At 45.2% G+C, this 18,456-nt stretch overlaps 2 protein-coding genes across 41 annotated transcripts in view, besides 8 other annotated features; one reads left to right on the top strand and one right to left on the bottom strand.

Annotated features, from left to right (window-relative positions):
* Window positions 1-3,384, bottom strand: part of SHLD2 (shieldin complex subunit 2) — a 96,993-nt gene extending 93,609 nt beyond the window's left edge. For 18 of the 32 annotated variants that reach the window (NR_165106.1, NR_165108.1, NR_165105.1 and 15 more), the window contains exons 1-2: window positions 2,609-2,651; window positions 868-923 (exon numbers count right to left, since the gene is read on the bottom strand). The gene's annotated coding sequence lies outside the window, so the exon portion shown is untranslated. Of the gene's footprint in view, window positions 1-867; window positions 924-2,608; window positions 2,652-3,068 lie in introns of those variants that run through there. The other 14 variants (XM_047425370.1, XM_047425371.1, XM_047425374.1 and 11 more) reach the window with 2 other exon arrangements.
* Window positions 2,001-2,060: an enhancer, noted in NCBI's record as "active region_3705". NCBI's record gives its function as "activates an Ori minimal core promoter by ATAC-STARR-seq in GM12878 lymphoblastoid cells {active_cell/tissue: GM12878}" and the evidence as "EXISTENCE:reporter gene assay evidence [ECO:0000049][PMID:35858748]".
* Window positions 2,103-2,360: a silencer, noted in NCBI's record as "fragment chr10:88855254-88855511 (GRCh37/hg19 assembly coordinates)". NCBI's record gives its function as "represses an EF-1alpha promoter that drives an FKBP-Casp9 reporter gene in an ReSE screen in phorbol 12-myristate 13-acetate-treated (for megakaryocytic differentiation) K562 erythroleukemia cells {active_cell/tissue: K562(+PMA)}" and the evidence as "EXISTENCE:reporter gene assay evidence [ECO:0000049][PMID:32094911]".
* Window positions 2,103-2,980: a biological region, named in NCBI's record as "ReSE screen-validated silencer GRCh37_chr10:88855254-88855511".
* Window positions 2,281-2,980: a silencer, noted in NCBI's record as "silent region_2578". NCBI's record gives its function as "represses an Ori minimal core promoter by ATAC-STARR-seq in GM12878 lymphoblastoid cells {active_cell/tissue: GM12878}" and the evidence as "EXISTENCE:reporter gene assay evidence [ECO:0000049][PMID:35858748]".
* Window positions 3,014-18,456, top strand: part of GLUD1 (glutamate dehydrogenase 1) — a 44,642-nt gene continuing 29,199 nt past the window's right edge. For 2 of the 9 annotated variants that reach the window (NM_005271.5, NM_001318906.2), the window contains exon 1: window positions 3,014-3,532. In NM_005271.5, the coding sequence (NP_005262.1) occupies window positions 3,088-3,532 (445 nt within the window). In that variant the 5' untranslated portion in view covers window positions 3,014-3,087. Of the gene's footprint in view, window positions 3,533-3,769; window positions 3,925-5,202; window positions 5,276-6,233; window positions 8,296-18,456 lie in introns of those variants that run through there. The other 7 variants (NM_001318905.2, NM_001318901.1, NM_001318902.1 and 4 more) reach the window with 7 other exon arrangements.
* Window positions 3,101-3,240: a silencer, noted in NCBI's record as "silent region_2577". NCBI's record gives its function as "represses an Ori minimal core promoter by ATAC-STARR-seq in GM12878 lymphoblastoid cells {active_cell/tissue: GM12878}" and the evidence as "EXISTENCE:reporter gene assay evidence [ECO:0000049][PMID:35858748]".
* Window positions 3,441-3,780: a silencer, noted in NCBI's record as "silent region_2576". NCBI's record gives its function as "represses an Ori minimal core promoter by ATAC-STARR-seq in GM12878 lymphoblastoid cells {active_cell/tissue: GM12878}" and the evidence as "EXISTENCE:reporter gene assay evidence [ECO:0000049][PMID:35858748]".
* Window positions 4,465-5,002: an enhancer, noted in NCBI's record as "NANOG hESC enhancer chr10:88852612-88853149 (GRCh37/hg19 assembly coordinates)". NCBI's record gives its function as "activates a minimal SCP1, AML or CMV promoter by ChIP-STARR-seq in naive H9 embryonic stem cells {active_cell/tissue: H9 hESC(naive)}" and the evidence as "EXISTENCE:reporter gene assay evidence [ECO:0000049][PMID:30033119]".
* Window positions 13,859-13,908: an enhancer, noted in NCBI's record as "active region_3704". NCBI's record gives its function as "activates an Ori minimal core promoter by ATAC-STARR-seq in GM12878 lymphoblastoid cells {active_cell/tissue: GM12878}" and the evidence as "EXISTENCE:reporter gene assay evidence [ECO:0000049][PMID:35858748]".

Genomic DNA, 18,456 nt, shown 5'->3' with positions numbered 1-18,456 from the left:
ACCTGGGAGGCAGAGGCTGCAGTGAGCTGAGATTGCACCACTGCACTCCAGCATGGGCAACAGAGCAAGACTGTCTCAAAAAAACAAAACAAAACAAAACCATGATGATTTTAAAAATAAAAACATCTGTTTTATAGGGTACTCATGAAGCCAGTTTGTAAGGCACCTACACACAGGAGATTCTCAATTAAAAAAAAAATAGTAATTTCCACAGCTCTATTCCTCACCTCTTCCAAAGCTTCTTCAATTCTGCCTTTCCTTTTTTGAGATGAAGACTCGCTCTGTTGCCCAGGCTGGAGTGCAATGGCACGATCTCGGCTCACTGCAACCTCTCTCCCTGGTTCAAGTGGTTCTCCCAAGTAGCTGGAACTACAAGCACTGCCCAACCCCCTCCCCGCCACCACGCCTGGCTAATTTTTGTAGGCCCCCCACCACGCTTGGCTTATTTTTGTATTTTTAGTAGAGACAAGGTTTCACTGTGTTGCCCAGGCTGGTCTCGAACTCCTGACCTCAAGTGATCCGCCCACTTTAGCCTCCTAAAGTGCTGGGATTACAGGCGTGAGCCACCTCCTTAGGCCCAATTCCACCTTCTTGAATTCAGGTGAACAAGTCACAGAAGAAGCAAAGTTAAACATTTATTTTTCTGAAGGCTAAGGTTATAAAGAACAACAAAAACAATAAAACTAAGCTTTTAAAGATTTTTCCTCAGAACATAAACAAATAATTTAATCCAAAAAGAAAAATATTTCCATGTTTACTGATGCTAATCATTTTATTCTGAAACTCCGTGGGTTTTTTGCAGGAGTGGGGGATTGCAATGTAAGAGAGTAAAACGATAATACATCCAGAAAAAAGGAAATTTGATACCTTAATCTTTTGACCATCAAGGAAAATTCAGGATTCAGGTCAGAGTACATTTTTCACTGAAAAACACAGTGCAAATACAATTAATGACAATGACTTATTTAGCAAGTAAGGTAAAATATAAGTTCCACCTGTATGAAAAGATAATTTTGACTTTGAGAGTACACTTAGATGAATGTCATTTAACAGATCCAGGTTGTCACCTTATATTTTACACAATATTTCGAGAACTAAGAACTTTCTCTTCCATATTCTAAAAGATGAATAACATGAACATATCGGGAAGCACCATCGTTTTGCAGGTCCAATGGGTGTCATTTTAAAACCACCCAAGTACACTGAGACCGCTAACGCTAGTAATGTGGTGTTTGGCAGCTAGTTTTAATGACTGTCATTAGAGCTTTATTTTTTATTTTCTTTTTATAGAGACGAGCCCAGGCTGGTCTTGAACTCCTGGCCTCAAGCGATCAGCCTGCTTTGGCCCCCAAAGTGCTGGGATTACAGGCGTGAGCCACCGTGCCAGCCTCGTTAGTTTGAAAAGCACCAAAAGCTATCCATAGGAATGTGAACTTTAGCATTTCCTATCAAGTATGTATAAATACATAACTGAACCCTCATACAGCATAAAGCTTATAAATCATATACTGAGGCCAGGCGCGGTGGCTCACGTCTGTAATCCCAGCATTCTGGGAGGCCTAGGCGGGCGGATCACTTGAGGTCAGGCGTTGGAGACCAGCCTGGCCAGCACAGCGAAACCCCGTCTCTACTAAAAATGCAAAAATTAGCCGGGCGTGGTGGCGCGGGCCTGTAATCCCAGCTACCCCGAGGCTGAGGCAGGAGAATCGCTAGAACGAACCCAGGGAGGTGGAAGCTGCAGTGAGCCGAGATGGTGCCACTACACTCCCGCCTGGGCGACAGAGCAAGATTCCATCTCAAATAAATAAATAAAATAAAAAATAAATCATATACTGAACCATTTAACAAATACATATATTCCTGAGAAAGAATTTCCTGGGGGCATTATCGCATTTCTAGTTTCCTTATTTTAGACTATTTCAGAGGGAGATAGGGTCTCCCTCTGTTGCCCAGGCTGGGGTGCAGTGGAGCTATCGTAGCTCACTGCAGCCTCGAACTCCTGGGCTCAAGCCATCCTCCAGCCTCGACCTCCCAAAGTGCTAGGACTAAAGGCGTGAGCCACCGCGCCGGGCCGGAGCCTCTGTCTGCAAAGGTGAAGCAGTCAGTACTGTGGGGCGACACAACCACGACGTGCGTAACTATGCGATCTCCACACTGCGGAGCAGTTGAACGGGACAATAAAAGCTCGCGTGGTGAGAGCTTGTGGGCGAGTGACTCCCTTCCAGCTCACGCCAGCCACGCATAATCCAACTCCGGGTGCCACGCCGCTCTCTGCAGCCCTGGCTGGTGACGCCGAGCCCTCAGCCCGGCCTTACGCGGCGGCGGCTCTGCCTCGCTTTCCTGCCCACGTGTCAGCCCCTGCACGCCCGGCCCCGGCCTGAGGCCGCCAGAGGACAGGCCAGGGTGGGCCGCCCGTTCCGAGGGCGCGCGGGCGGAAAGGAGGGGCGCCCGTGACTCACATGACCCGGTCCCCGACCAGACCGCCAAGCCTCACCCACGCGGCGCTCGGGGGGACTCGGCCTCTGAGCGCCCTACAGAGGCCAGCCCCCGACCCCGACCTCCCTGGGCTACCCCCAACCCCCCTGAGGGACCCCCGCGGCGCACATACCTGAGAGCCCCGCCGGAGGCGGGTGCGGCCTCCGGGCAAATCCGGCCGCCCGTGGGCCCGCCCCGACCCGCCCCGACCCGCCCCGACCTTCCCCTCCCTGCCCCTCCCGTCCGTTCCCCTCCACTCTCCTCCCCGCCCTTCCTCTCCCCTCCCCTCCCTTCCCCACTGGCGCGCGAGCGTGCGCGCCGAGCCCGCCCGCGCCTGCGCGCCCCCGACGCCCCGCCGGCGCGCGCTGCCGCCAGCGAGGCCCGGGGAGGCCGCGGCGGAGGCGGAGGCCCGGCGCCCTGGGCGGCGCCCTGTCCCCGAAGTCCGTCCTCCCCGTTAGGTGGCGAGCGCCCGAGGGGAGGGGACAGCCGGGCAAGCAGGAAGCTGCGGCTTAAAAGGGCAACCCGCGCGGGACCCTTCCTCCCTAGTCGCGGGGAGTCTGAGAAAGCGCGCCTGTTTCGCGACCATCACGCACCTCCCCTCCGCTTGTGGCCATGTACCGCTACCTGGGCGAAGCGCTGTTGCTGTCCCGGGCCGGGCCCGCTGCCCTGGGCTCGGCGTCCGCCGACTCGGCCGCGTTGCTGGGCTGGGCCCGGGGACAGCCCGCCGCCGCCCCGCAGCCGGGGCTGGCATTGGCCGCCCGGCGCCACTACAGCGAGGCGGTGGCCGACCGCGAGGACGACCCCAACTTCTTCAAGATGGTGGAGGGCTTCTTCGATCGCGGCGCCAGCATCGTGGAGGACAAGCTGGTGGAGGACCTGAGGACCCGGGAGAGCGAGGAGCAGAAGCGGAACCGGGTGCGCGGCATCCTGCGGATCATCAAGCCCTGCAACCATGTGCTGAGTCTCTCCTTCCCCATCCGGCGCGACGACGGCTCCTGGGAGGTCATCGAAGGCTACCGGGCCCAGCACAGCCAGCACCGCACGCCCTGCAAGGGAGGTGAGCGTCGGCCGGGCCCCGTCCCGCCCTCCCTGCCTCCCCTGCGGCCCTCCCCTCCGGCCTCCTGCCGGTGCGGGGCCGCTGCTCAGCCCAGCCCAGCCCAGCTGGAGCGGGCCGGGTCCCCGCCCGGGTCACCCCGCCTCGGATGTGGCCGGCTCTGTGGATGGTGATTTTTCCGCCTTAAAATCATCATGCGATTGGCCTGCCCCCTCCCCCGCGCCGTCACCCCGGGCCTCTGTATATGCTGATCTTGCATGCAGAGTAGACGCTGCACCGGTCTCCTTTTGGTCCCGGTGTCTGTGTCACACACGGCGGGTCCTGCCGAAATGCACTTCTAGGAAAGGGAATGACCTGCCCGTGTGATAATGCCTCGTCAGTGTTCTTGGGCTTTTGTGAGTCTCCCCTAAATGCAAGCTGTCAAATTATTTTCTGGTATTTGTTCACTCCTGTTCCAATAGTGACAGATGATATCCGAACATAGAAAATGACTTGGCTTCTAAGTTTGAAATCTAGACAGTTTTATTAACCAAAGGAATTTACTAATCACGCGTTAATCGTTTCAATTAAGTAATTTTCCCATTCTGACAAGTTCTGTTTTATACCAAAAAAAAGGAAAAACACAAAAAAATCACAAGCAATGTAATATCTCTGACAAATAAACACCTGGCGTCCTGACAGTAAATTTACAGGTTGTAGGCTGCGGATGGCCAGCCAGCCAATGGAATGAAATAGCTCTGGGGGTGTGTACTGGTCCTGGCTAGCCCTGAATTTGAGCTTCAGGAAAAATATAGTACGTGAAGAAAGGGGTCAGATAATGTTTGGTAGTCACTGGGTTATCCTGTGGTTTAAATCATTTAATGTCTGTAGATTTGGCCTCTGTAGTCAGATTGCTTTCTTCGAGCAAATAAGAGCTTTTTTCCCCCCAATACATTGCATCATACCTCTTTAGTAACATAAAATGGAAAGGACAAACCACTTTTGTCTACTGTAAAAAAGAAAAATTATATGGAATAAAGAGCCCAGGGAGGCGAGGAGTCTTGTTGGAGGTGGATTGGCTGAGAAGCACAGAGGATGTTGGGCTAGACCCATGTCTCAGTAAACCTGGTTCTGTGGTCTTTCAGTTATGCCCGCTGACTTATGAGGATTTTTAGAAATCCTCTCTGTACCGGAAAAAACTTGAGCGGTGCTGGTGTTCCCAGCAGGGGGGACAAAGGTTGTTTTTAAAGATTTACTAAATTTGCATTGACCCCGCCCACTTCTAGGACTTAACTTTGGAGCTTAATTATCCCCTAGCTCTGGTTGCCTCAGCCAAAACCAATGTTTGAACCACTTTGACCTCTGATTTCCTTTCTAGCTTCAAAATTGTATAAAATGTACACACCGTCAGTCTCCTACATTTGCCTGCCTTCTTCCTACCACTCCCTTATTATCCAAACCAGGAAAACAAGTTCAGACTCCAAAGAAAGGCAAATAAGGATGTTGGAGGAAGTTCAGGCAATGTTTAGCAAATATTGAGTTGCATCGTTTTCTTAAAACGGACATCAAGTTTATTTTTTACTATCTTGCTGGCAGCATTTGCCAGTCCTTTAAAAGGTGTACAGATAAATCAGTGTATGTGGTTTTCTGCAGGATGATTTGGTCTCTGAAATCCTTTTTCTTCGATTCTTCAGATGCCCAGCTCTCTCCTGTTTTTATAAGTCGCAGCTCCGCAAACTCACTGAAGCAACTCGTTTACCATAGTTTGTGAGTCCTCTTTCTCTTGTTGCCACAGCAGTTTTAATGCCAAAATATTGAACCTAGCAACAAATTGGGTCAGCCATACCAAAGCACTGTTACTGTAGCACTTGCTTGTACTAGAGTGTAAGATACAATTTTCTGTTCCGTTTATCCCATTTACAAAAAAACATGCTATTAACCCCCAGCATATAAACAGGGAGAAACTGAATTGTTACTAGTAAACTGTTGCAAGCATTGATAGAACATCAAAGAAAATTGGCCTCTACAAAGTGACAAATTTATTATCTTCAGGAATTTGAAAGGCTTTCTGGATTGGGGAAGATTACATAGCTATGAAAGCCCTTAAATATTTTAGTTTGCTTAATAAACAGTATACTAAACAGATGATCAGCAAAATTTGGGTACTATAGCCTTCCATGCTTTGTGTTCAAGACATCCCCAGATCTATCTACCCATTTATCACCCTTGTTTGCAGAGAATGTGCATTGTAAGAGAGACAGGTCTTCTTTCTTAAAGCTTTTTTAACGTCTAAGAAATTGTTAACCTTTGTAGTCCCACTCTAGTCTTAGAAACACAGAATATATTAGGTGATTGAGATTTTTTTAAATGCTTTGGATAATCCCTATGAAATTCTGTCTTTCCCTCTTAAACATATTTTAACACGTTCTTCTTACCTCTCCCCACTAACCTGTCTTCTCTCCCATTGGTTCTTTGCCAAAAAAAAAAACCTCATCTGCCTCTCTCCACCCTTTTACCAACCTTCAGCTTTCTGTATCTCATTTTCCCTCAAGAACAACCTTATCCCTGAGTTTTCTAAATTAAAATTCTTGAGGTTGAAGCAAAGCAACAATCTAGCAATAATCTCTAAGGGAAACAGATGGTTATAAGACTTGGTGGCTGATGTGTACTTTTTCCAAGTAAATATTTAATAATACACACTGTTTTTGTGCTTTTCTTTTCCCAGTTACTACATGTACCTGAGGCCGTTAGATTTGTCTGTGTTAAGGATTTGAAAGGGTAAGCTAAAGGATCTGAAGGGAAGTTTAAGTGAGGCCTTAAAAATATTTCCAGCAAAGGGGCATAGTGTGAGAATATGCGACTGATTTGAGAAGACTGGTTCAAAAGTTCTGGTGGGTTTGGAAATATTATCAAAGATTGTTCTATTAACTTTCCCAGAGTAAATTATCTGTATTTCATTTGCTATGGTTCTGCCTGAGACCAGTCTACCTTTTTAGAAGGAAGTTTATTGTTTTAAAGTCAGTTTGGAGGGAAAGTACAGATTGATAATAGCAATTTATTGATGGTAGGAGTCAATTAACTTTCTCTTCCAGTCTGCCCCCCCCCAGTTGTCTTGATATTAAAACTATTAAAATTCCCTATCACTGATGCTACTATCATAAAATTTTCTAAAATTATCATAATTTACATATAGTTGATGGACCGTAGATGGAGTTCTCTCATACATTGACCCTAAGTCTTTTAATTACAAATATTAGTACCCAAAAAAGTGTACCCTATATTAATCCAGTAACTAGTTTTTAAAAGTCAAAATGCCAGAAGGAAACAGTGGAATCTTGATGACATAATGCAAGGGAAGACCGGAGTCAATGCAGTGTTAAAGACGCCCTCAGCCTCTGGGATGTCATTGTTTAGCGCTTAAGGGAAGACTATAGAAAGCACTGATACTGATTTAAAATGAGATATTTCTCTGCCTTCACTGGGGGAAAAAATGTTTCTGACTTATTTTGCTGTGCTCAATTGACAACCATCAAAACTTAGGTAACTTTTAATAAACTCACAGTTTCTAATATTTTTAAGTGGCTGTGTGTCTGCATCTGCTGCCACAGATAAAATATAACCTTTGTAGGTGAATTTAATTTAGGACTTTTCTGAAAGTTCAGTCAGAGGATAGGTAATTTGTGTGTCTTTTAAAAGCACTTAGCCCCGAGGTTGTTGTTTTTAATACATCTTATTTAAATACGGAAATGTGTTGCCCTTATGCCTTTTTATTTCATGGAAGCCAAATGCGTCTTTTCTCCCAAAGTATACTAGAAAATGAAGACGCTTGGTAATGGTAGTGATCTGTACATCAGATTTCAGTCTTTCTGTCACTTGCGTGTATGAATCCATTTAGCAAGTTTGCTTTTGGCAGTAAAGCCCCACGTGCAGGAAGACAAACAGCTGCTCACTCATTATCCAAAGTATACTTTGTAAGAATTAGGGCATCAAAAATTGGATCCTAAGCACCAATATATATTAAAGTTCAGTACAACTTGTAGTGTTTAAGTACAAGAAATAAAAATTGAGCCTGAACTTTTGGCATATAGTGGGAAGAAATTAGGTTTACCGCTGTTAATAATTCAGAGTGCTTAGGAAAATCGGTTTTTATTTACTTATGTTAAAAATACTAAGGGTTCTGTAACCATTAAAAACTAAAATACTAACCTGTAGATGTTGAAAAAATCCTAGACACTAGTCTCTGCCACGTGACTGTTCTTCTTTTCTATTTATTTTACCCAATAATTAGGCTTTTACAATGTAAGTAATAAAGAGAAAAATCTCTAGTATCACTTTAGAGCACATTGATTCATAAATAGCCCATAAATTTTGTACTCAGCAACCCATAAAATACACATGCATGATTCACATAATCAAATAGTAACGAAAGTTACAAAATGAAAAGTGAAGCAGCTCTACCCCAAGTCCTTCCCCCAATATAACCATGAACAGTCTTAAATCTAATGCCGCTGTCTAAAACTGACTAGTTATTCAAATGAATCAATATTTTCCCCTTTCCAGAGGCAGAAATTAATACAGATTCAAGTGTTCACTATCAAGTCGGAATTGTTAATATGTGAAATACTACTGTTAAAGGCAGGAAAGGCTTTATTAAGGACAAGAAGACAAACTAGGAGAAGGAGCTACTCAAGACCTTCCGATTATCTTTACAAAAAGGCAACTACACCTAGAAGATTCTGCAGCCACACACATTCTGCCTTCACTTGAGGTCAACTGCCTTCACCAAGGTCAGATATTAGCAAAGGCTAACATTTATTCAGCTCTGTGTGTGCCAGGCATTTTATTAAGAACTTTTCATGCATCATCAGTTCTATGCCTTATAGCAACAATGCATGTAAGAACTTTTCATGTATCATTGCTTTTATGCCTCATGCAATACACTGTTGTCCCTGATTTCCAAATGTGGCTACTAAGGTTGAGGAGTGAAGTGTCCTTTGGCAGGGTGACACAGCTAGTACGTAGTGGAGTTGAGGTTCAGATTCTGGGCATCTGATTCCAGCACCCACCTTAATCATTGTTGTCTGGGATTTATTTATGCAAAAAGTTACAAATTGTATCTTAGGCTTTTAATTGTAAGCGCTGATTGAGAACCACTTCATGCCATTGACACAATGCTTCCTAATACTTTGGATCATAGATACCTTTGAAATTTCTGTTAAAAGCTATTAGAAGACCTACCTTCTTCCTAGAAAAATACATATTCAAACAGCTTTGCATATAAAACTCAGCATAGATGATATCTCTAGAGGTCCATTTATTCTAATTGCTAAGGAAATGAAATAACCTTTTTCCCCTACACCCAACTCCGAAGACCTGAAATAACATTTTAAACAGTTTTCCATCAAAAGAGGTTTGAAGACTTTGGTGTTTAAGAGATTAATGTGTTAGCCAGAACAACTCATTTCTCTACCAGTGTGTAGTCCATTTATCTTTAAAGATTTTCTATTGAATAATTTTGAAATTACTTTCTTAGTTTTCTTCATTAAAAACTAAGAAAATGCTTTGTTTATTATGAATTGCTATTTCTCTTGATTATTATTCTTGGAGAAAGTCTATCAGACGTAATTCTTCTGATTTGCTTCTAGGCTAGAGGAAAATGTGAAAGATGACAAATGAAAATTTCAAAGGTTGTCAGTAGTATGACTTCTTTTATCGTTTGTCATTATCACAAATATATCAACATAGGACTTTTAAAAGATATTTTGTACATATTGGGCCTTAGTAGGATTTTGCATGAATTTTTTTTTTCTTTTATGCCAAGAGAGAAAGAGCAAAGAAATAACCAAGGGTGATGTACTCGTATTGAAGGTTTACCAAATAAGGACTGCTTTTATTATGAACTATAGTCTATATTCTAAGTAAATCAATTTTTCTATTATGTGTTTTTTGTTCCTGCAGGCAAGATCTCTGAACTTTATGCAGAGGGTTCTTTTAAAAAAACAAAGTTGAATTTTTTTATTTCTTGGAATATTTTTTTTCATTGATTTCTCCCAAGTAGAGCAGATTCAAATCTCCTTTGTACCCTATGTCTTTTTTGTTTTGCTATAAGCTCAGTATTCCATTTCTACATTTTCCTTTCCTAGAACCAGTCAATAAATGACAAAAAAAAAAACAAAACAAAGTAAATCATGTGTTGTTGCAGTAGGAGTTCAAGGAAACCAAGGACAATCTTGTTTGTTTATTTGTTTTTTTGTTTGTTTTTTTTTTGAAACAGAGTTTTGCTCTTGTTGCCCAGGCTGGCATACAGTGGCGCGATCTTGGCTCACTACAACCTCTGCTTACCAGGTTCAAGCAATTTTCCTGCCTCAGCCTACCAAGTAGCTGGGATTACAGGCATGCACCACCTCACCTAGCTGATTTTTGTATATTTAGTAGAGACAGGGTTTTGCCATGTTGGTCAGGCTGGTCTCGAACTCCCGACCTCATGTGATCAGCCCACCTCGGCCTCCTAAAGTGCTGGGATTACAGGCGTGAGCCACCGTGCCTGGCAGACAGACAGTCTTGATGTGGGAACAGAGAAGGCTGGATAGGAGTTGGATAAGGCCATTTCAGATAAAGAGGGGGTGGCTTCACCCAAGGCAGGAAGTGGAACTGTGTGTAAGGGGGTCATGAGGACAAACTACATTTGTAAATAATGAGAAATAAGGGCTTGTGACAGTAAATATATTTGGTCTCTTTGCCTGGTTCCCAACACAGAGCTCCTGAATGTCGCAAATTCCTGAGTGATAGGAGCATCTTTTGTTCTAACTAGGACACTCTTAATGGGCTTCTGGGTAGCTTCAAGGTGGGGACTAGTCACCAAAAAGACCAAGCCATAATTAGAAATTTGGAACTTTCAGTCCCACCCTTTGACCTCTGGAGATTGGAAAGGGGCTGAAGATTGAGTTTAATCAGCAATCAGTCATGCCCTCATAATGGAACCTCTATACAAACCCTAACTGATGGCTGGAGTATGGGGAGAGTTCAGAGAGCTTCCAGGTTGGTGAATGCATCCATGTATGGGTAGGGTGGTACCCTCCAAATTCCAGGGGAACAGAAGCTCCTGCAGTGGGGACATTCCAGACATGGCCCTGTGTACCTCTTCATGTTGCTGTTGATTTGTATCCTTTACATAAGTAACGTTTCCCTGAGTCCTGTGAGCCTTTATAACATTATTGAACCTGAGGAGGGGGCCATGGGAACCCCCTGGTTGGTAGCCAAGTTGGACAGAAGTGTGGGTGCCCTGGGCACCCAAGACTTGGAACTGGCATCTGAAGTAGGGAACAGTCTTGTGCGACTGAGCCCTTGAGCTGTGGGGTCTGTGCTAACCCTGGTAGTCAGTGTCATAACTGAATTGCAGGACACCCAGTTTGTATCTGCAGAGAACTGGAGAACTGCTTAGTGTGGAAAACCCACACATTTGGTGTCAGAAATGTGTGAGAAAAAACAATTTTTTCCTTTTTTTTTTTTTTTTTTTCTTTGAGACGGAGTCTCGCTGTCTCCCAGGCTGGAGTGCAGTGGCGCGATCTTGGCTTACTGCAAGCTCCGCCTCCTGGGTTGATGCCATTCTCCTGCCTCAGCCTCCTGAGTAGCTGGGACTACAGGCGCCCACCGCCACGCTGGCTAATTTTTTTTTTTTTTTGTATTTTTAGTGGAGACGGGGTTTCACCATGTTAGCCAGGATGGTCTTGATCTCCTGACCTCATGATCCGCCCGCCTCGGCCTCCCAAAGTGCTGGGATTACAGGCGTGAGCCACCGCGCCAGGCCAATTTTTTCCTTTTATGTTTGTTGGATGAATAATGATGAATCTAGCAGGGCACAGAAAGCTAGGCAGCAGTGGAACTGAGAATGAAGTTATAGTTAATAGCAGAGAATGAAAAAGAAAAGACAGATAAAACATTTTGAAGAAAGGACAGTAATGTATTCCCAACAGGTAGGATTTACAGGATGAAGGAGAGAAGAGGCAAAGATAACCACAAAATTTCTAGCCTGAGAGACTGGTAGAAAAAAATGGTGGTATCAGGGACAGATGGGGTTATTAAGGAAAAGGATTGGATTTTTAAAATAAAGAAGATCTGGTGTAAAATTATCCTTAGGGAAATTGGAAATCCAGGCACGTACTTCTCTCCATCATGCCCTTGAATAGTGCAGTCCCTCTGCCTGTCCATGCCTCACTTCCCCCTCCCTAGGATTCCTCTGCCTCTCTTAAGACCCATCTCAAATTATCACGTAGACTTGTAAATAATTTATATGAAACTGGATAGCTGAGGTTTCAAGCCTTTATCCCTTTGAAACTTTTTAATAACAAGTTATTGTTACCTTTTACTAAATCCAACTTTATATTCACCATTTTAACTAGCATCATTTCCGATTCCAAGACCTGTTTGGTGTGAAAGTGCAGCTAAGTTACTGTTAATCAAGATCAGAATAAAAGAATCTACCAAGAAAAATTAACAAAATCCCCCTTTTAATGTATAATCTTCCATCTGTCAGGCTGTAAGTTAAATAACACAAAACAAAGCTGTATGTTTTATGGATATGTACATATATAATTGCAGGGAACATGATTTGGAAGGATATACACTTACATTGCTAAGAATAGTCACCCCTAAGGAGAAGACTGGGGTCATAAGTGGAAGTCAAGGGAGTCTTCAGCTTTCTTTTTGTATTTAAATTTTGATAGAAATACATACATATGTGTTATAATTTTAAATTTTTAATGAAAAAAGTATTCTTCCGTTTTTTCTTTGATGTGTCAATAGGTTATATTTTTCTAATATCAGCTAAACATTTGCTTCCCAGAAAGCTTAGTTACCTCTTCAAAATTTATTCAGGTTAAAATAAAAGATTTAGACTGGATTAAAAATCTAAGATGGTATTTGCCTACTTTATACAAAACAGTACATTGATGCTGCTAAAGCAATTAAAGTATAATTTTTCTGGTTTTTTTTTTTTTTTTTGGAGACGGAGTCTCACTCTCTGTCGCCCAGGCTGAAGTGCAATGGTGCAATCTCCACTCATTGCAACCTCGGTCTCCCAGGTTTAAGCGATTCTCCTGCCTCAGCCTCCCCAGTAGCTGGGATTACAGGTGTGCACCACCACGCCCAGCTAATTTTGTTGTGTGTTTAGTAGAGACAGGGTTTCATCATGTTGGCCAGGCTGGTCTCGAACTCCTACCTCAAATGATCTGCCCACCTCAGCCTCCCAAAGTGCTGGGATTACACGCGTGAGCCACCACGCCCAGCCTAAAGTGTGTACTTTTTCTTAGCTCCTATATGCAGTGCTCCTTCCCATGCTGAATGTCTGAATTTTTATCTGAGACGTAGTATTTCAGGTGGTCATTACTTGTGGGTGGTCATTGAGAGTTCCTCCCTGCTTCTAACCTTCCTCTCTTCATTTTAAATTAAGTTACGCTACATTATTGTGGGTTAGAAGGTACATTAATATTAAGTGAAAAAATATAATCTGATGAGTAAGTGGCAAGAGTGTTAACTTATAAATATTAAGAGTTGTTCTGAGGCATTTTTGCTTTTCTGGTGGTTCTGTGCTTCTGGTAGAACTCTTGGTTACTGAATAAATAGTTCCTGAAAAGTGAGAGAGTGCAGCTGGAAATTAGATTTCTGATGAATAAATCAAACCCTATTAAGAGAACCAGGTTCAAGTAATTTTAAAACCACTTGAATTTTCATAAATGTTTTGTTAATGACTAATTATAAAAAACAGTGACTAGCTGGAGGCTTTTGTGTTTGCTTTTGAGTCAGCTAGGAAAAGGAAAAAAAATTCAAGCTTAGTCAATTGTGGTTTTCACTGAATCTTTTTTAAAGTAATGAGCTGGTTTGTTTTCTTCATCACTATAGCAACTTAAGCTAGTTTCTGCTTTTGATTTTTATTTCTCCTAGAGAAACTTAGCATGTACTGCTCATTAGACTTGAGCATACTAAGGAATATCTGTGGTAATTAAGTTAAAAATCAGATCAGTGCTTTGTACTGTATATAGTTGCAGATGTCTGCATTTCACTAATATTCTTTGGAAACATCTGGATACCAGTTAACATAAAATAACTGTTTAGTCAGTTTCTGTTCAGAATAGAAGGAATGATTTAAAAGTTCCCATTGTAGTACATACGTCATTCTATCCCCTGCCCTTCCTCCAGCTTTACTGAGATTGATAAATAATAAACGTCATGGGTGGTGTGTCTTTAGTTTCCTCTGGTGAGCTGAGTGCACAGATTACTTTGTCAGCAGGGTGGCCTTGATTTTTAGGCCATGTTTCTAATGGCATCAGTTCTGTGGCTGACACCTGTGTACCAAGCCCATTCACTGTCTAGCTTAGCCAGCCGTGGACTCCTGCTCTTTGTTAAAAGTATTTACCTTCATTCCTACTAGCACAGTTGACCAAAGACCCAGTTGATCCCAAACACTAGTAATGCATCAATGGAGTCTAACAGAGTTTTAAGATGCGGTGTGTGCGTGTGTGTGTGTGTGTGTGTGTAGAGATGGGATCTCACTATGTTGTCCAGGCTGGTCTTAAACACCTGAGCTCAAGTTCTTCTGCCTCAGCCTCCCAATGTGCTAGGACTACAGGCATGAGCCACCATGCCTAACTGTCTAAGACTTTGGGATACAAAAATATAATTTACTTTCCTCCATTTCTGGAATAAAACATCTCTTCCTTCCTCCTTCTAGTTTCTGTTCTGTGCCCCTGTTTGATCTCTGTTGGTCCTGTTCACCTTCAGCCTTCTCTGCTGAAGGAGGAAAGGCTTGGTTTTATAAAAAGTGACAATATTCAGATCACATAAGATCCTTCTTGCTTCATTTTGGCTTAAATATTTTAAGATTTTCTGATTTTCTTGTATGTGTATGTATTTTCCTATTATTTGACTTTTTTGAACAACTTCAAATTGAGTATATTTGAACGAGAGTAGGCATTCAAAAGTGCTAGGCTTTCCCTGCCTTTCAGAACTTTGAGGTATATGTCACATCATTTTGTCCTTCACATTCTCCAGTTGTGCTAATTTTTCCCAATCCATTGAGTTAAGTAGAGTACCTTCCTTTTTGCAGTCATATTCTTACTTTTTTTTTTTTTTTTAATTTTTTTGAGACAGTCTCAAACTGTTGCCCAGGCTGGAATGCAGTGGTACAATCTCAGCTCTCTGTAACCTCCGCCTTAGCCTTGTGAGTATGGGACTACGGGAATGTGCCACCATGCCCAGCTAATTTTTGTATTTTCAGTAAAGATGGGGTTTCACCATGTTGGCCAAGCTGGTCTCAAACTCCTGACCTCAAGTGATCTGCCCAGCTCGGCCTCCCAAAGTGCTGGGATTATAGGCGTGAGCCACCACATCTGGCCCCTACATAAATCTCTTCGTGTCCCTTAGAATGTAGTTAAGACTTATTTTCAGGTGACAGTATATTTTTGATAGTTATCTTTGGTTTCCAAACCCAGAGAAGGAAGAGTAACTGGCTTCTTCTGTGTGTGGGTACATTGTGTCTTATTGGAGATTGTTTTGTCTCAAGTATTGCTGCAGAGTATTTTATTAATGGGTGCACTTTAAAATTTTTTGTTTTTCAGACTACCAGTTTAGGTAGCCCAGTACTCAATATTTGCCAATTTCTAGAATTAAAAACATGTATGAATCACTGGTTAACTAGAAATTTAAAATGAAAATGTTTCTTCTTTAGCCCAGGCAATATCACTTGCATTCATTTCTATCCCCTCCCTGTCCCTGTTCTGTTGGCTCTGGGGCTTCTTCCACTAAGCTGGTACTTTCTTTATAGCTCCTCCTGTGCTTCCATTCACTAAACCTTTATTGGTTCATAGCCTACAGAAAATGCCTGTGGTGTGAGAGGTAATTTGTGAAACTGCTTCTCTTCACTGTTTAGCAGTTGAGCTCTCTAAATGGGTGTAGCTGGGAAAGAAAACTTAACTTTACAAACAAGAATTCCTGGGTTCCATCCAGCGGAACATGTCTTTTGTTATACACACACAGTTTCTGACTCATGTCATTCCATGACTTATGATAAAATGGACATTTTGTTTACACTTGTGTGGAAGGAGGGGTCTGGTTTCTAATTTTTAATAACATCTATTTCTAGAATATTAGGCTTGCCATTTGAATGCTTCTGTTTGATTTATGAATATCATTGGTTCCAGCAGTTTTTAGCTCCCCACTAAATGCAAGTTAAAATTTTTAAGTTTCTAAGTTAAAAGAAAGTAACATTTCCTCCACTTAAGAAAGCAAGGAAAATTAAAAATAATGTGGTGATGACTTCCACAGGCTCTAAAAGAGCAATGGAAAAAGTGATTTATGTGTGGGAGAAGAAATACTAGTTCTTTTTTTTTTCTTTTTTTTTTTTTTTTTGTATTGATCATTCTTGGGTGTTTCTCACAGAGGGGGATTTGGCAGGGTCATAGGACAATAGTGGAGGGAAGGTCAGCAGATAAACAAGTGAACAAAGGTCTCTGGTTTTCCTAGGCAGAGGACCCTGAGGCCTTCCGCAGTGTTTGTGTCCCTGGGTACTTGAGATTAGGGAGTGGTGATGACTCTTAACGAGCATGCTGCCTTCAAGCATCTGTTTAACAAAGCACATCTTGCACTGCCCTTAATCCATTTAACCCTGAGTGGACACAGCACATGTTACAGAGAGCACAGGGTTGCGGGGTAAGGTCACAGATCAACAGGATCCCAAGGCAGAAGAATTTTTCTTAGTACAGAACAAAATGAAAAGTCTCCCATGTCTACTTCTTTCCACACAGACACGGCAACCATCCGATTTCTCAATCTTTTCCCCACCTTTCCCCGCTTTCTATTCCACAAAACCACCATTGTCATCATGGCCCGTTCTCAGTGAGCTGTTGGGCACACCTCCCAGATGGGGTGGTGGCTGGGCAGAGGGGCTCCTCACTTCCCAGTAGGGGCGGCCGGGCAGAGGCGCCCCTCACCTCCCGGACAGGGCGGCTGGCTGGGTGGGGGGCTGACCCCCCCACCTCCCTCCCGGACGGGGTGGCTGGCCGGGCAGAGGGGCTCCTCACTTCCCAGTAGGGGCAGCCAGGCAGAGGCGCCCCCTCACCTCCCAGAAGAGGCGGCTGGCCGGGCGGGGGGCTGACCCCCCCACCTCCCTCCTGGACGGGGCGGCTGGCCGGGCAGAGGGACTCCTCACTTCCCAGTAGGGGCGGCCGGGCAGAGGCGCCCCCTCACCTCCCGGAAGAGGCGGCTGGCCGGGCGGGGGGCTGACCCCCCCACCTCCCTCCCGGACGGGGCGGCTGGCCGGGCGGGGGGCTGACCCCCCACCTCCCTCCCGGACGGGGCGGCTGGCCGGGCGGGGGGCTGACCCCCCCACCTCCCTCTCGGAGCGGCTGGCTGGGCAGAGGGGCTCCTCACTTCCCAGTAGGGGCGGCTGGGCAGAGGCGCCCCTCACCTCCCGGACGGGGCGGCTGGCCGGGCGGGGGGCTGACCCCCCCACCTCCCTCCCGGACAGGTCGGCTGCCGGGCGGAGAGGCTCCTCACTTCCCAGATGGGGTGGCTGCCAGGCGGAGGGGCTCCTCACTCCTCAGACGGGGCGGCTGCCAGGCGGAGGGGCTCCTCACTTCTCAGACGGGGCGGTTGCCGGGCAGAGGGTCTCCTCCCTTCTCAGATGGGGCGGCTGGGCAGAGACGCTCCTCACCTCCCAGACGGGGTCGCGGCCGGGCAGAGGCGCTCCTCACATCCCAGACGGGGCGGCGGGGCAAAGGCGCTCCCCACATCGCAGACGATGGGCGGCCGGGCAGAGACGCTCCTCACTTCCTAGATGGGATGGCGGCTGGGAAGAGGCGCTCCTCACTTCCTAGATGGGATGGCGGCAGGGCAGAGACGCTCCTCACTTTCCAGACTGGGCAGCCAGGCAGAGGGGCTCCTCACATCTCAGACGATGGGCGGCCAGGCAGAGACACTCCTCACTTCCTAGACGGGGTGGCGGCTGGGCAGAGGCTGCACTCTGGGCACTTTGGGAGGCCAAGGCAGGCGGCTGGGAGGTGGAGGTTGTAGCGAGCCGAGATCACGCCACTGCACTCCAGCCTGGGCACCATTGAGCACTGAGTGAACCAGACACCGTCTGCAATCCTGGCACCTCCGGAGGCCTAGGCTGGCGGATCACTCGCGGTTAGGAGCTGGAGACCAGCCCGGCCAACACAGCGAAATCCCGTCTCCACCAAAAAAATACGAAAACCAGTCAGGCGTGGCGGCGCGCGCCTGCAATCGCAGGCACTCGGCAGGCTGAGGCAGGAGAATCAGGCAGGGAGGTTGCAGTGAGCTAAGATGGCAGCAGTACAGTCCAGCTTCCGCTCGGCATCAGAGGGAGACCGTGGGGAGAGGGAGACCGTGGGGAGAGGGAGAGGGAGAGGGGGAGGGAGAGGGGGAGGGGGAGGGGGAGGGAGAGGGAGAGCACTAGTTCTTAATTAATACATTGTTTTACTATTTCCTGTGAATTTATGTAGAAGTAATGAAACCAAGGTTTATTAAGTCATTTTTTCAAACTCCTGTCAGTTTAGACTTTTTAATTGCTTTGTTACATGCCATTACTTTGTAATACTTGTTATAGCAGTGGTAATAGTTGAGATTTGCCTGTTTGACCACTTGCAGGGCACCGTGCCAGATTCCCCATGTGCGATGTTCCTCGCAGTCGTGACACCCATCCTAGGAGAGTGGCATTAGCACCCCTCCATGCAAGCGGATGGTGCAGGCTGGGTCGCCTGGGCACAGCGCCTTACCATTTCCCTGGCTTAGTGTAGTTATCATTAAATAATATGTGGTATTACTTAGAAGCATTTTGAATAATTTGAAAAGCACATTTTAGTGTTTAAACAATTTTTTTTTTCTTTTTTCTTTTTTTTTTTGAGGAAAGGTCTGGCTCTGTTGCTGGGGTTTAGTGC

This window comes from Homo sapiens, chromosome 10, assembly GCF_000001405.40.
Source record: "Homo sapiens chromosome 10, GRCh38.p14 Primary Assembly".
Lineage (NCBI taxonomy): Eukaryota > Metazoa > Chordata > Mammalia > Primates > Hominidae > Homo > Homo sapiens.
This window is presented reverse-complemented; position numbering and strand designations above follow the sequence as displayed.